Source organism: Homo sapiens, chromosome 8 (genome assembly GCF_000001405.40).
Source record: "Homo sapiens chromosome 8, GRCh38.p14 Primary Assembly".
NCBI classification, from domain to species: Eukaryota; Metazoa; Chordata; class Mammalia; order Primates; family Hominidae; genus Homo; species Homo sapiens.
The window spans coordinates 127,699,768-127,715,815 of NC_000008.11; the positions used below are offsets into that span (position 1 = coordinate 127,699,768).

The 16,048-nt window shown below is 42.7% G+C and overlaps 1 long non-coding RNA gene across 1 annotated transcript in view, besides 1 other annotated feature; it reads right to left on the reverse strand.

Moving 5' to 3' along the window:
- Window positions 1–840: 840 nt before the first annotated feature.
- The window catches only part of CASC11 (cancer susceptibility 11), a 33,360-nt gene continuing 18,152 nt past the window's right edge, over window positions 841–16,048 (reverse strand). The window contains exons 3-4 of the long non-coding RNA NR_117102.1: window positions 3,283–3,476; window positions 841–1,072 (exon numbers count right to left, since the gene is read on the reverse strand). This is a non-coding gene — a long non-coding RNA (cancer susceptibility 11). The remainder of the gene's footprint in view (window positions 1,073–3,282; window positions 3,477–16,048) is intronic.
- Window positions 5,631–6,131: an enhancer, noted in NCBI's record as "H3K4me1 hESC enhancer chr8:128717643-128718143 (GRCh37/hg19 assembly coordinates)". NCBI's record gives its function as "activates a minimal SCP1, AML or CMV promoter by ChIP-STARR-seq in primed H9 embryonic stem cells {active_cell/tissue: H9 hESC(primed)}" and the evidence as "EXISTENCE:reporter gene assay evidence [ECO:0000049][PMID:30033119]".

Here is a 16,048-nt window from a genome sequence, read left to right on the forward strand (position 1 = left end):
CTCTCTCTCTCTCTCTCTGTCTCTCTGTCTGCTAAAAAAAGACTTTTTTTGGAATTTTACCCATGAAAATCTGAATGGGAATTTGAGTTCTTTGGCTAAAAGGTTTTTCTCAGAACATGGGCAGCTTTCCAGACTTCCGTTTTATAATGAATATTCCTACTATTTTTGACTTCTCAGTTTTCCAAGGCCATGGCTACCCAATTTGGCTGTCATAAGAATGTCGTTACTCTAAATCCGTTAAGCTCTGCAACGCAGAAGTTTTCCCGAAACCAATTCACAGAGATGGTATCACTGAGGATATGGAGGAGGAAAATATCCCAAGACAGTGGTTCCATTGATTTTCAAGTTGGGTAAGAAAATATAACTGGTGATGAAAATGAAAGCTGAGGCATATTCTAAAATGAAACCTTAGAACAAGATAGAAAAATAAAAAATAAAAATAAGTGGCAAAGATATCTATATAAATCTCTCACACTAAATTTTTAAAATCTCTCACACTGAGTTGAGTGTAGAAACAGGATCAATGCTATCCAGACAACTGCAGCTTTTCTCTCCTGGGGTTAGATGGTCCCTCCAGGCAGCCTGCTTCATCAGGATCTAACATGACCCTTCAAATGTCTCTCAGAGATGACCAGCCATGTCTGGTCCATGGGAAGCATGGAAATTGAGAGACAGGATGCTTGAAGATTTATTTGAAAAGAGCTGTTTCCTACCTAAAGGAAGGCTTGCTTTCTAATACTGTATTAGTTATCCTTTGCTGCGTAACATATCATCCCAAAGCTCAGTGACTCAAAACAACCATAATGATCTGTAATTTCTCACGGTTTTACGCCTGCAGAATTCAGGAGCAACTTGGCTGGTGAGTTCCTACTTCGATTTTCACGAGGTTACAATAAAATGTCCTTCAGGACTGCTGTTATATGAAGGCTTGATGTGGGCTGGAGGACCCACTCAAAGGTGGATTGTTCACACAGATGGCAAAGTGGGTACTGGCTTTCGACCAGTTCTTCTCTGCAATGTCATCTCCATGGGGTTACTTGAGTGTCCTGGAGGCATGGTAGCTGACTTCCTCCTGAGTAAGCAAATCAGGAAAACAAAGCCAAAATGCTACAACACCTTTTAGGACCTACTCTCAGAGGTAATGCCTTGTTATTTCTGCCGTATTCTATTGGTCACAGAGGTCAGGGCTAAATTTTTATGGGAGGTCATAAAAATCAAGAGGCAAGGATCATTGGGGACCTTTTAGAGGTCTGGCTAGCACAAATACGGACGCAGGCTGGGCACAGTAGCTCACATCTGTAATGCCAGCACTTTGGAAGGCTGAGGCAGGAGGATCACTTGAGCCCAGCAGCTTGGGACCAGCCTGGGCAGCATAGTGAGGCCCGCACTTCTAAAATAATAATAATAATAACTCATGCATTGCATATGACTTACAGTGAGAAATCTAGAAAAGGCTGGCAAATGCAGTAGTGTCAACAGAGTGCTGGGCAAAGGATGTGGCATTTCATGGGCCAAATGTGAAGCTCTCTGGGAGAGACCTGATGTGGAGTTACCTAATTGGAAACATGGGTATAAAGGCCAGAGGCAGCGATAGATTCATGAATATGAAGCCTGTACAGCCACACAGAGTCCTCCACTAAGAAGGACCCCACGCTTCAGTGTAATGCACTGCTATTGCCTTCTTGAAATTCTGAATACTTTCTGAACAAGGATCCTGACATTTTCATTTTGCACTGGGCCCCACAAATTATGTAGCCATTCCTACCTTAGTAGCCAAGGGTGAAAATAATGATCCATGGAAATAAAGAGGTGATTGCTCTGTCAAGAAACCATGGATGAGAAATCCCCAGGGATAGGGTTTTCTAATGAACTCATAAAAGCATCTAGAAGAAAGTAAGTTCTAAACTGCTGCAAAAACTAAACAGATATCTAATTGCTAGATTTCTCCAATAGCCTGAGTTCCTCCAAAAAGCAGAGCTTAAGACAAGAGTTTGCATGCAGGTAGTTTGTTTTGGGAAATGACCGCTAAAATAAAAAATGGGAGTTAGAAAGAGTAAAAGGGGAGGAGAAAGAGCTGGTCCAAGGTTGCCTCATTGAACTCATTGCTCTGTGAGCAACTGGGGCTCAATCTCATCAGAGGGCTCGCTAAGGAGCTTTGTAGGATGCTCTGCAAGACTGACCTTCTGAGACAAAGAAAGAGGAAGCATTTGTCCTCCAATTGCCACCCTGATGGTCAAATTGCTCTATGGGTTTACAATGCTCTCATGCATGCATCAGAAAGGCTGAGTGGGTTCCTTTGGGATGCTGCAGGGTGGAAGCAAAGAGGCCCTAGAGCAGAAAGCAAAGAATACACTATGTTTCCAAGCGAATCCCATTACAGCTGTTCGCTGAAGCAAGAGATGGAGTGAAAAAGTGGATGCGAGGGGCTCCCGTGGCACTACAATCTCCATGCCAAAGTCAGCCAAGGAATAAATTTCTTGCTCCTCTACTCACTCCTTCCCTGAGCTCCATCCCTGGGGAGATGGGGGAGGGAAAAACTAGCAAAGATAGAAGAAACCATCTCTAGCCCTTCCCCAGTTGAGGCTTCCCTCTTGAGCAAGGAGAAGGCAAAAGCCTCAACTGTAATCAATTTGGAATTACATGAGAAAGGGGAATTTAATTCCTCCATTTGAGACATTTCTTTATGATAAAGTGAAAAGAGCCTAGGAAAGTCCTGGGGCCTGCCTGAGTTTTCTTCTAGGGCCATGGGGATTAACAAGCCCCCAGAGTGGACTTAAAAGGGGTTGGATGGTGTAAGCTGGAGAAAGCTGCTTTGTGATTACCTCCTCCAAGCTTGTTCCTCCTAATCGAAGACATTAGAAATATCCAGAATGCACTTGATAGAACAAGAAGACAATGTTAAGGGGGTGAGGGGGAATGTGCTGTTAGTTGAATTCCTTTCATGACACAAAAATGGAAGCCAGAACTCACGTCCATTTCACATGTCTTTGCTTTTTGAGATGGTGTTCATTCTGCCTGAAATATCCTGCTCCACCATCCGATTCACCTCCCCTATCATTTGTCCCCTCCTGAGACAGGGAGGGTTTTGTTATTATCATTATATGGTATTATCATATATATAGTCTGCCTTATACTAGAAATATTTATGGAGGCTTTTTTTTAAATAGAGCAAAAATGACACAAATTAAAAGGCATGGAAAATGAAAGATAAAAAATAAAAACCAAGTGCAGGAAATTATAACAGAGTACAGAGCGAGACCCTGTCTGTGGCTCTACACATACCTTAAGTTACTGACAGGTGATAAGGGTACAGTTTTGGCTCTCAACTCTCAATTTTGTACCAGCAGCTGATACAAAAAAGGGAACATGTTCCAGTCTCAGTTAGCATCCATAAGGCAAAACCCGCACCACTTCTCAGGAAAAGCAGAGCTACTTCTGATTCTGAAGTCAGGTGGACAATTGCCTCTGGGGATCTCCTAAAGAGACACACAATGTACAAAAATTGAACAACATGCTCCACAATATCTTTTCTATTTATTTGTTTTATTTATTTATTTATTTTTTTGAGACAGAGTCTCGCTCTGTCGCCCAGACTGGAGTACAGTGGAGCAATCGTGGCTCACTGCAACCTCCGCCTCCAGAGTTCAAACGATTCTTGTGCCTAAGCCTCTCAAGTGGCTGGGATTACCATGTGCTACCATGCCCGGCTAATTTTGGTATTTTTAATAGAGACAGACTCCTGGCCTCAAGTGATCCACCCGCCTCAGCGTCCCAAAGTGCTGGGATTACAGGCATGAGCCACCTCGCCTGGCTAACATCTTTTCTACAGGCAATTTTTTTTTTTTTTTTTTGAGATGGAGTCTCACTGTCACCCAGGTTGGAGTGCAGTGGCACGATCTCGGCTCACTGCAACTTCCACCTCCTGGGTTCAAGCAATTCTCCTGTCTCAGCCTCCCAAGTAGCTGGGACTACAGGCACCCGCCACCACACCCGGCTAATTTTTGTATTTTTAGTCAAGACGGGGTTTCACCATATTGGCCAGGCTGGTCTCAAACTCCTGACCTTGTGATCTGCCCACCTCAGTCTCCCAAAGTGCTGGGATTGCAGGAGTGAGCCACTGCACCCAGCTCAGGCACTTCTTATAATGTCCCTCAATCTGTGACACAGACATGACAAACAGGAGAGAATCACCAAGACCCAGGCTGACTGCAGACACCTTCGGGCCACCATGCACTATGGCTTTAATCCCCTTCATTGCACTCACCATTTCTCTTTGCAATCATTTCTACATGAATCTTTCTCCCTTTATTTTTTATTATTTATTTAATTTTTGAGATAGGGTCTCACTCTGTTGCCAATTCTGGAGTGCAGGGTTGCAATCACGGCTCACTGCAACCTCAACTTCCCAGGCTTAAATGATCCTCCCACCTCAGCCTCCTGAATACCTGGGAACATAGGTGTGTGTCGCAATGCCTCACTAATTTTTTAAAATTATTTTTTATAGACACAGTGTCTTGAGGGCTAAAAGCCATGTCTTGTTTATGTCCGTGCCACCACTGCCAAACATTTGGGTTGGTATGTATACCACAACATATTTTCTGCATAAATGAGAGAATTACAGATTAATGCTTTTAATTAATGCGAGGCAACATAGAAAGCAGGAGACAAATGATCAGATGCCATTTCGTCTGGAGCTCTTGAGAAACTAAATCATGCACAAATGAGATCAGCCAGCCTCTAAGCTGCAAGAAGCAAGGTGGCACGGAATCTTCCAGTCAACCTCTGAGTGAAAGAATCAAAATGTATAGTACAGAGATCACAGATTACAAAATGTCTCAAAACTTGTCATCAACGCCCATGTTGGTTACTTATTTCTCGTAGCCATATCTGCACGGCATGTGCACCAAGTTGGCCAGGCTGGTCTCGAACTCCTGACCTCGGCCTCCCAAAGTGCTGGGATTACAGGCATGAGCCACCGCGCCCGGCCCCTTTTCTTCTAAGAATTCATCTTACAATTTCAGCCATCTCTGAATTTCACTTAGATGGGCCTCTTTGGTTGGAGGAACAGCGTGATAAGTCTTGATGTAAATTTTGACTTAGAAGTGTAATAGATAGTGTTCTTTTTTATTTTTGTTTTGTTTTTGAGACAGGGTCTCACTCCATTGCCTAGGCTGGAGTGCAGTGGTGTGATCACAGCTCCCTGCAGCCTTGACCTCCTAGGCTCAAGCAATCCTGCCACCTCAGCCTCCTGAGTAAAAAATTAGCATGTGCCACTGTGCCTGGCTAATTTTTTTTTTTTTTTTTTTTTTTTTGGAGACAGTCTTACTCCGCCTCCAGAGGTCAAGCGATTCTCGTGCCTAAGCCTCTCAAGTAGCTGGGATTACCATGTGCCACCACACCTGACTAATTCTGGTATTTTTAGTAGAGACAGACTCCTAGCCTCAAGTGATCCACCTGCCTCAGCCTCCCGAAGTGCTGGGATTACAGGCGTGAGCCACCTCGCCTGGCTAACATCTTCTCTACGGGCAATTCCTTTTTTTTTTTTTGCGACGGAGTCTTCCTCTGTCGCCCAGGCTGGAGTGCAGTGGCATGATCTCGGCTCACTGCAACCTCCACCTCCCAGGTTCAAGCAATTCTCCTGCCTCAGCCTCCCTAGTAGCTGGGACTACACGCGCCCGCCACCACGTCCAGCTAATTTTTGTATTTTTAGTCGAGACGGGGTTTCACCATATTGGGCAGGCTGGTCTCAAACTCCTGACCTTGTGATCTGCCTGCCTCGGACTCCCAAAGTGCTAGGATTACAAGTGTGAGCAACCGTGCCTGGATAATTTTTAAATTTTGTAGACATGGAATCTTACTCTGTTGCCCTGGCTGGTCTCAAACTCCAGGTTACCCAAAGTACTGCGATTACAGGTGTGAGCCACCACTCTCAGCCTTTTCTTTTTCTTTTTTTACAAAATAAAATACACTAAGATTTGAAGAAATCTCACTCATCTTTAAAAAGATTCAATGGCAATGAATCACTTTTCTGCAAAGGCTGGAGTTAGGAGAACCCGTGGTTGATGGCTTTGTTAATTATTATTATTATTTTTTTTAAGATTCAGGTTCACACTTGTAATCCCAGCACATTGGGAGGCCAAGGTGGACAGATCACCTGAGTTCAGGAATTCGAGACCAGCCTAGCCAACATGGCAAAACTCCATCCCTACTAAAAATACAAAAATTAGCCAGGTGTGGTGGCGCATGCCTGTAGTCCCAGCTACTCAGGAGGCTGAGGCAGGAGAATCACTTAAACCTGGGAGGGGAATGTTGAAGTGAACCAAGATTGTGCCACTGCACTCCAGCCTGGGTGACAGAGCAAGACTCTGTCTCAAAAAAGCAAACAAACAAAAAAACAAATTGCACTGTTTGGTCAAGAATTCAATTCACGATAATCAAGCAGCTCCTAACACAGTTCTCTAGTCACATTTTCAGATTTAGCTTCTGTGGGGGAAAAAAAAGTCTGTATTTCCCTGTAGCTCTGTGAGATAAGCCTTCCATACCTCTCTTGGGTTACTATATTTGAAGGATTCCTGAGATATGGAATGAAAGAACTAGCAAAAAGCTATAATGATCACTCACATTTGATTTTAATTAGAGAAAAAAACAAATCTCTTGCTCTCCTCCCTCAGCTGGGATGGGATTCTTCTCCACGATGCCTCTATGGTTTCTTTCCTTGCCTTGAGTGCAAAGGCGATGTGTATTTTTCAGCGGGAAAGATGGCAAACATGCCCATCTCAACACACATAACATTTTATTAAGTATATATATTATACAGAACCCCCCAAAAAATTTAAATGTGCTTTTTTTTTCTAGATCCCTGAGGAATCGCCACACTGACTTCCACAATGCTTGAACTAGTTTACAGTCCCACCAACAGTGTAAACGTGTTCCTATTTCTCCACAGCCTCTCCAGCACCTGTTGTTTCCTGACTTTTTAATGATCACACATACATTTTATTAAGTATATATACTAGCAGAACCCCCCCAAAAATTTAAATGTGCTTTTTAAAAAGGTTGGGCTGGTTTCAAATGTTCTCAGAACCAAAGCAACACACGCCTTTCAGAGCGCTGGAGAAAATGCTGTTGAACAAGCTCTCATGGCTCAACAGTGGAGATCTGAACAATGTATCTGACTATTAACATAATTTGAGAAGAGAGGCTCCCTCTTAACCTGTATTTTTGGCTCACTCAAAAAAAGTGCTCCTGTCAGCCTTCAATTTCTCTACCTGGGTCTCTAGTCTGAGGACAGCATCCTTTTGGAAGACTTCAGCAATTTCTGTGGAGCCATGTTTAAATTGGGCAAGTGGAAAACTAACTCCCTTTAAGAAAAGTGGCATTGTTTTGCAGTCAGGTAATTCCACGTGGGCTCACTGGTTACTTTCCATGGGAATAGTCTTTGAGGAAGAAAGGGCCTTTGTTGAGATTTGTTTTGTTTTGAGAACAGTCAATTGGTTCTTTCTACTCTTCCTTCTAGGGCGCCAATCTTTCCAAGGATAACCACAAAGTGCAAGCAAAAATAATGAAAAAGGAAAGAAAGAAAGAAAATCTGTATGCAAACCCAGGTTGTCATTATCTGGCGTTGTTTTCGGCCATTCTTGTCTTCTGACTCCTACCTGGCACACAGATCACTCCTGCCCACTCCTGCCCATTACTCTCTATCTTGTACACGCCTTGCTGGTACATATGGAGGACCATGGAAGAAAAGCATTGCTGTAAATTTCCTCCTTCTCAAGGAATCCTGCTCCCTGAGTTTCTGCTTAAGTGACTTCTCACCTTCAAACTCACTGAGGTTATTCTTGTTTGGCTTCAGATAAGTGGCTGAGATTTTAATTGTTCTCAATTGGTCTGTTTATCAGGGTAACTGTTTCAGTTTTCTTCAAGACAAATGATTAGATCCTTCGGTCTTTATCAGTATATTAAGTATGTTTTTCAGGTGTGGACTTAACTTTGCCCTCCACTCCCAGCAACCGTTTCCTTTCATAACTTGGGTGTAGTTTAAACACACACACACACACACACACACACACACACACACTTGCTCAGAGTTATTTTGGAAAGTGTATTCTTTACCAGTGACACCAACCTCAAAAGAGTCAAGGATTCCTTAAAAAGGAGAAGATTTTATATATTAAGTCTGAATTGAGAAAGGGGGAAAGAAAGGAATAAAACAGAGAGTGATAGGAAAAATTAGGAGGTCTCAATGGATTGAAAAGGTAGCAACAAAGGACACTAAGTGTGCACAATGGCTGGGTTCTCTGTATTTTCTCATTTCATCCTTAAGACAACTTAGAGAGGTAAGAAACAGTTTTTTCTCTTTTAACAGAAGAAGAAATTGAAGTGGAGAAAGATAAGAAGCTTGGGGAAAAGCAATGAATGGTAGAATATCTCAATAAGCCAAACTATTTTCAACTTTTTACTTATGAAGTAACTAAGGTTCAGAGATGTAAAGCAATTTGCTCAAGGTTAACCAGCAAATCAGTAGAAGAGCTGTGATTCAAGCCAGGTGTGTTGCTCCAAAGTCATTTAAAGGCAAAAGCTGAAAAGCAGGAACTGGAAGGTGAATGAATATATACTGTGAGATGATCTTTTCCTAGTTTAAATAAATCTCAGCCAGCAGCCATCCAAAGAATCTACCGGAGGAGAAGTGCAGGCTTTTATTGCTCAGGATAGGCTAAGCTATGCTGCAATAATAAATAAAGCCTGAAATTTCAGTGGCTTATAAAAAACAAAAGAAGAAGAAAGAAAGAAAAAACATTTGATTCTTATTCACACAAGTCCACTGCTGGTCAAGCAACTCTGCAGTGCAGCTTTCTTTGGCACTTCCAGTATTCAGACTTCTTTCATCCTGTGGTTCCATCATCCCAATAGAACAATTCTATGGTCACCCCAAAGAAGAAAAGAAAAAAAGAGGAGACACAAAGCTCCTAATGACTTTGGCTGTGAAATAACACACATCATTGCCACTCACAGCCCATGGCCAGAACTAATCACTGGCACCAGCCTTCCTGCAAGGGAAGCCAGGAGATATAGGCAGCCCCTTGGGTATTTGGTGAGTGCTAAGTACAACTGTGCAACACTCCCCAACTTTCCTTGGCCTCATTTTTTTTTTTTTGAGACAGATTCTCACTCTGTCACCCAGGCTGGAGTGCAGTGTCATGATCTCGTCTCACTGCAACCTCTGCCTCCCAGGTTCAAGCTATTCTCGTGCCTCAGCCTCCTAAAATAGCTGGGACTACAGGTGTACATCACCATGCCTGGCTAATTTTTGTATTTTTAGTAGAGATGGGGTTCCACCACATTGGCCAGGCTGGTCTCGAACTCCTGGCCTCAAGTGATCTACCCACCTTAGCCTCCCAAAGTGCTGGGATTACAGGCATGAGCCACCATACCCGGCCTCCTTGGCCTCATTCTTGAGTTTTTAATATCTGTGTAAAAAATGAACACCATTGAACCTTAGTATAGGCTTTTTGGGAGTAGCAACAGGTTAAAGCAATTGCAGGATGCTTTCTTCAACAAAGTAGTAGCATCTGAAATTTGAGTCATGATGGGGATCTTTAGAAGCCCTAGGTATTCCTGAAAAATCTGGAGGTTACTGCTGCAGCCCTCATATGATGGTTTCAAAAAAAACTGCAGGAGATCCTCCCACCTCCACATTTAAGAAAAACTGAGAACACCCACCTTTTCGACTGGTTTATGATGGGTTATCTTCAGAACAAAAGAAATATTCTAATTTCAGCGGCTTTCAAACAAACTGAGTGTTTAACACACAGGCCTTTTGATTCCCACAGGAGGAACCATCACATAAGCTTATATTGTTAAGCGAAATATGCCCAGGGTAGAATCTCATTCATAAGCCATTGGACTTGAGCTTAGGCAGAGATGATCCGTGAGCTGGATCCAAGGTAACATAGGAACTCAGGTTCCTCAAGTGCAGCCTCAGCTGCATTCATTTCATATACCTGCACCATGCCAGGCTCTGATTAGGTAAAAGAGTATTAGTCAATGCGTTTTGTTTTTTGCAAGTGACAGAAACCCAACTCCCACTGGCTTCAAGCAAAATAGGGAATGTTTTGGCTCCTGTAACCAACCACTACCATATAGAGAAAGCCTGCTTGAGAATGAAGCCAGCCCAGAGGAAAGCTGGGCCAAGAGGAAAGGGCAGAGTTTTTAGGAGTTGACCAAAGCCCTTGATCCAACTGTACCTGAAGGAAACATGCAGTTGGGTAAGCAATAAATTTAAGATTTTAAAAATGTGTTGTATAATATTTTGTTTGCTTAGGCTTATTAGATACTAGTTTCTACTGTATACAACTGAAAGAGCCCCAGCCAATAAATATGCTAAGTAAAGGACACAGTGAAGTTGTCCTATAAAAAAATGTCACTGACCTTGGTGTCTCTGTCTTTCCCAAGTCAGTGTTCATACATACCTATGTATTAAACTCCTACTAAATAACAAGCCCTGTTCTAGGTGCTTAAGATATAGAAGTGAAGACACACAAAGACTCTGCCATTGTGGAGTTTATATTCCAGTAGGGGAAATGTAAAACAAATAAATAGATAGGATGCCCAGTCTTAGGTCAAATGGGGAAGTTTGGTGATTACTGCTTTAATTCCAGGGAAGTCTCAATTCAGGGGATACCAATTGGCCTCATAATCTGACCCTAGAGAATGGTCAGTCTCTGGGTAAATGTCATCCTGATCTCTCATCCCCATAACTGAGATAGTACATTTCCTTTTGCCTTTCAAGTCTGACAGCCATTCCTTTTCATTAGCCAAGAGAACAATGGACAAATTGGAAAGAACCGCAAGCTAGAAGTATATGAACATAGATCATTGTCCCAGCTCTGTTACTGATAAGCAGCCCTTCCCCTGTCCCTGTTATACGATTTAATGATAGAACGGGTTGGATGATACAACATTTGCTTTCAGTGACTCCAACAGCAATGTCAGAAATTCTATTGTAGACATCGACCACAATTCCTGGTTCATGGTACATGCATGATATATATTTACTAATTCGTTCTCAGCTGATTAGTTAACTGAGATGCATGGGAGATTAGAACCTACCACCTCTACAACAAGAACATGGTTATCAGAGAAGACAAATGTTACATATTTATTTTTAAATTATTTGACTCCTGGATTTATTGTGTATCTTTCTACGGGCAAGTTTCATGAGACTAGGGATTTTGTCTGGTTCATCTTTGTGGCCCAGGGCCTACGTAGTGCTCACTAAAATGGATGAATGAGTGAATGAATACCATAAGAGTTTACAGAGTGAGCCAGGGAAAGCTTATGAAGATAGGGGCATTTGAGCAGAACCTAGGAAGATTCTTAGAATTTAAAAAGCGGGCCGGGTGCAGTGGCTCACGCCTGTAATCCCAACACTTTGGGAGGCCAAGACGGGTGGATCACCTGAGGCCAGGAGTTTGAGACCAGCCTGGCCAACATGATGAAACCCAGTCTCTACTAAAAACACAAAAATTAGCCAGGCTCAGTGGTGAGCAACAAGACTGAAACTCTGTCTCAAAAAAAAAAAAAAAAAAAAAAAAAAAGCAAAACTTTTAATGTAGAACTTTGCTTTAGCACTGTCAATCTGAAAGCAGTATTACAATGGATTGTCAAAGCAAGAGATTAAAGTTGGGAAACAGTCCAAAAAATAGGAAAAATGAGATTTAGAAAGGCACGAACAGGAGGAATTGTCATAATAACCCACCCCAGCATGTAATCCCTTTGGAAAATAGTAACTTTACAGTGGAATAATCTGGCAAACACTTCTCTAAGCAAGTGTTCAAAGCTGATATCCATCACCATTGATGTCAACTGGATATCATGTACCCCCTGATGTGATGAAAAGGGCACTTCACATCTGTAGTATTTTTTTTCCCAAAAACCCAAAACCCTGGTCTAATTATAAAAAAAAAAAAAACCGGCCAAACACAAATTGAAGGATACTTTACAAAATACTTAACTAGTACTCCTCAAAACTGTCAAAGAAAGCAAAGAAAGAAAACTGTCATGAAAGCAAGAAAGACTGAGAAACTGTTACAGATAAAAGGGAACTAATAAAACATGACACTAAACGCATTGTGGTATCTTAGATTGGATCCTGGAATAGTGAAAAGGGTATTAGCAAAAAACTGGCAAAATTGAAAAAATTATCTGCAGCTTAATTAGTAGTGACATGCAAATGCTGGTTTCTTAGTTGTCATAAACAATGTGATGATAAATTAGGAGTAATTGAAACCAGGTGACAGCTATATTATCTTTTCAACTTTCCCACAAATTTTAAATTATCCCTAAATTTTTAAAAGTAATGTTTTAAAATAACATGCATGTATTTAGCTTACAATTGTACAGGTGGATAATTTCGACTGGGCTCGGTTGAGTGGTTCTTCTAGTCTTGGCTGGGCTACGGTCAGCTCAACAAGGCAGTTCTGCCTCTATAGACTGGCTGGCTTTTGCTGGAGCATCTTTGCTTTGATATGCATGATCTTTTGTTCCCCAAAAATCTAGCCTGGTTTGTTTCCACAGTGCCTGGGCAAATTTCCAAGAAAGAAGAAGCAGAAATGAACACAAGTGTACAAAGCTTCTTGAAGCCTAAGCTTGGAACTGGTACATCATCAACTCCATCTCATTTTTGTGTCCAAAGCAAGTCACAAGGCCAACCCAGATCCAGGGGAAGGAAACAGCTATCACCTTTTGACAGCACAGCCACAGAGGCATGTTGTAGGGTGCATGAATTTCTGCCATATCTACAATCAGTCTTTCATGTCATATTATTTAGTTTCTTTCTCCTTGAACCTTAGAGCAATTCTGAATGGTCAAGAGCAGTTCAGTTAAACTGCTTCTTGTCATTTATTTGCAGCCACTGGCAGGGTAGAAGCTTGGGGGTGCAGAGGTCTAGCATCAGTGATTCTGTTTTTTTTTTCATCAGTGATTTTCATTAGGAATCTGTTATGTATGAAACAACGACTTGCCATAGTTCTGAAACCCAGCTCCTCCATTTATTAGCTCTGTAATCTTTGCCAAGTTTTACCTATTTGCACCTCAATTTCCTCTTTCATAAAATGGGGATAAGAGTAACAATGTTACGGTGTTATGAGGATGAAACGTATATAAGGCCATACCTGGCAGCCCCCTCCCCTTGCCCAGCCTAGATTTGCCTGTAGGAAAAGAAAAACACTGTGGTGCAACTCTTGCCCAAGAAGTTTAAGTTTCTAGCTCAGTGAGACATCACAGCTCTGCTGGAAAGGTCAACTCAGAGCAGCTTCCAAGCCCACCTGGCCTCCTGAAGGACTAGACCACCCTCTGAAGAGCCTGAATTGGATAACAGTTAACTAGGCACCAGCCTTCAAGCTTAACATCTCGTTTCCTTTCTTAAGACACTCAGGAAGACATTACCATTTTAGCTACATGGAGAACTAGCCCTGGAGAACTTAAGATCACAAAGCTGTGGAGTAAGAGAACAGGGATTAGAATCAAGCTGTTGGACCCCCAAGCCCAAGCTGGTAACTACTGTGTATTCCCCCACTCTTTGCTATATTATCCTCTGCCACTCAGTGCCCACTTAATAATAGGCTCAATTCCAAAACACTGCATAGTTCTTGATGGGGACTTTGGTGCTCCAGGGACAAACTCTGAGCAGCATTTGGCCACTATGTGCTAAATTAAAAACTCCAAATACCCTTCACCTTCCCCAGCGGAACTATTTCCAGCATCGTTATTCAAGCTCCCCTCTCCTAAAACTACAGTTATCTAGAAGCAGAACATTAGGGAGCAAGAGAATGAGGCTTTGAAATTACCAACATTACTCAAACCCAAAGCTCAGATGGAAGCATTCACAGCTTCCCTTCCTCTCCTGGTGACAACCAATGTCTCCAATTCACCACCGAGGAACCGGGAGAAGTGTGAAGATGCAAAATTCTACACTTTCAGAGCTGGAAGGGAGTTTAACGCAGCTAGTCCCAATGCACAGATGCAAAAATGAAGCCTGGAGAGAAAGGGATTTGTCCACAGAGCTAACCAGAAATGTGAGAAATCCAAAGGGTTTTTCTGTCCAGTATTGGATTTGATCCTGACAAGAACATTGTGGAGCAGCAGAGCACATACATTTACTTTAGAGAAGACAGGCTGAGTTAGCCAATGCAGGGCATCCAGAGTGTCTGGAGCAACACTGAGACTAGAACCACCTTCCTACTCCTAGAGCATCAGACAAGACTTGTCTAGGCTGATTCCGATTCTGTATTTTTTTTTTTTTAATGAAGTCTGCTCTGTCACCCAGGCTGGAGTCCAGTGGCACAATCTCGGCTTACTGCATCCTCCACCTCCCAGGTTCAAGCAATTCTCCTGCCTAAGCCTCCAAAGTAGCTGAGACTACAGGTGCCCACCACCATACCCAGCTAATTTTTGTATTTTTTTTAGTAGAGATGAGATTTCACCATGTTGGCCAGACTGGTTTCAAACTCCTGACCTCAGGCAATCCGCCCGACTTAGCCTGCCAATGTGCTGAGATTACAGGCATGAGCCACCGCACCAGGACTGATTCTAATTCTTAACTCTGTGTCTTCAGGTAAATCATGACTTCTCTAACCTCAGTTTTCTCATCTATAAAATTAGAATCAGGATGATTCTGAGTGCTGTGTGATTAAAATGAAATAATGATGCATCAAGCTCTAGGTTTAGAATTAGCATGTGACACACACTGCAAAATTGGTAGCTGTTTATATGATAATTTTTGTACAAAATCTGATTTTTTTTTTTTTTTTTTGAGACAGGATCTCTTTCTGTCACCCAGGCTGGAGTGCAGGGGAATGATCTTGGCTCACTGCAACCTCCACCTCCCAGATTCAAGCAATTCTCATGCCTCAGCCTCCCAAGTAGCTGGGACTACAGGCATGCACCACCACACCTGGCTAATTTTTGCATTTTTAGTAGAGACGGGGGTTTTCTATGTTGGCCAGGCTGGTCTTGAACTCCTGGCCTCAAGCAATTAACCCACCTTAGCCTACCAAGGTGCTGGGATTACAGGCGTGAGCCACCACACCCAGCCAAATCCAATATTTTTTAAAAATATTACTTAATAGGATCAGGATCATGCAACACCACACCTGGCTAATTTTTGCATTTTTAGTAGATACGGGGCTTTTCTATGTTGGCCAGGCTGGTCTTGAACTCCTGGCCTCAAGCAATTAACCCACCTTAGCCTCCCAAGGTGCTGGGACTACAGGCATGAGCCACCACACCCAGCCAAATCCAATATTTTTTAAAAGCATTACTTAATAGGATCAGGCATGGTGGCTCACGCCTGTAATTCCAGCACTTTGAGAAGCCAAGGGAGGAGGATCCCTTGGGCCCAGGAGTTTGAGGCCAGCCTGGGCCATATGGTGAGACCCCATCTCTTAACAGAAAAAAATAGCCAGGTGTGGTAGCACAAGTCTGTAATCCCAGATACTAGGGAGGCTGAGATAGATGGGAGGATCACTTGAGTCTGGGAGGTCGAGGCTGCAGTGAGCTGTGATCAGCCACTGCCTTCCAATATAGTGAGATGGAGTCTCATTCTGACCCCCCAGACTGGAGTGCAGTGGCACAATCTCAGCTCACTGCATCCTCGACCTCCCCAGACTCAGGCGATCCTCCCAAACCTCAGCCTCCTGATTAGCTGGGACTACAGGCGTGTGCCATCATGCCTGGCTAATTTTTGTATTTTTCTGTAGAGACAGGGTTTTGCCATGTTGGCCAAGCTGGTCTCGAACTCCTGGACTCGGAATATGCCTGCCTCGGCCTCCCAAAGTGCTGGGATTAAAAGCGTGAGCTACCGCGCCTGGCCATTTTTTTTTAATCACAGGAAAAGTGATTCAAAGTGTCACTTCAGAGACACAAAATTTTGCTTGAGCTCTGATGTAATATTTAGATGATTTATTCACAGAAGGTGATCTGCTAATTCAGGGACCTTGTTTTATGGCCCAAATTCTTTCCAGTTCATTCAACTCTGCTTTCTCAGAGA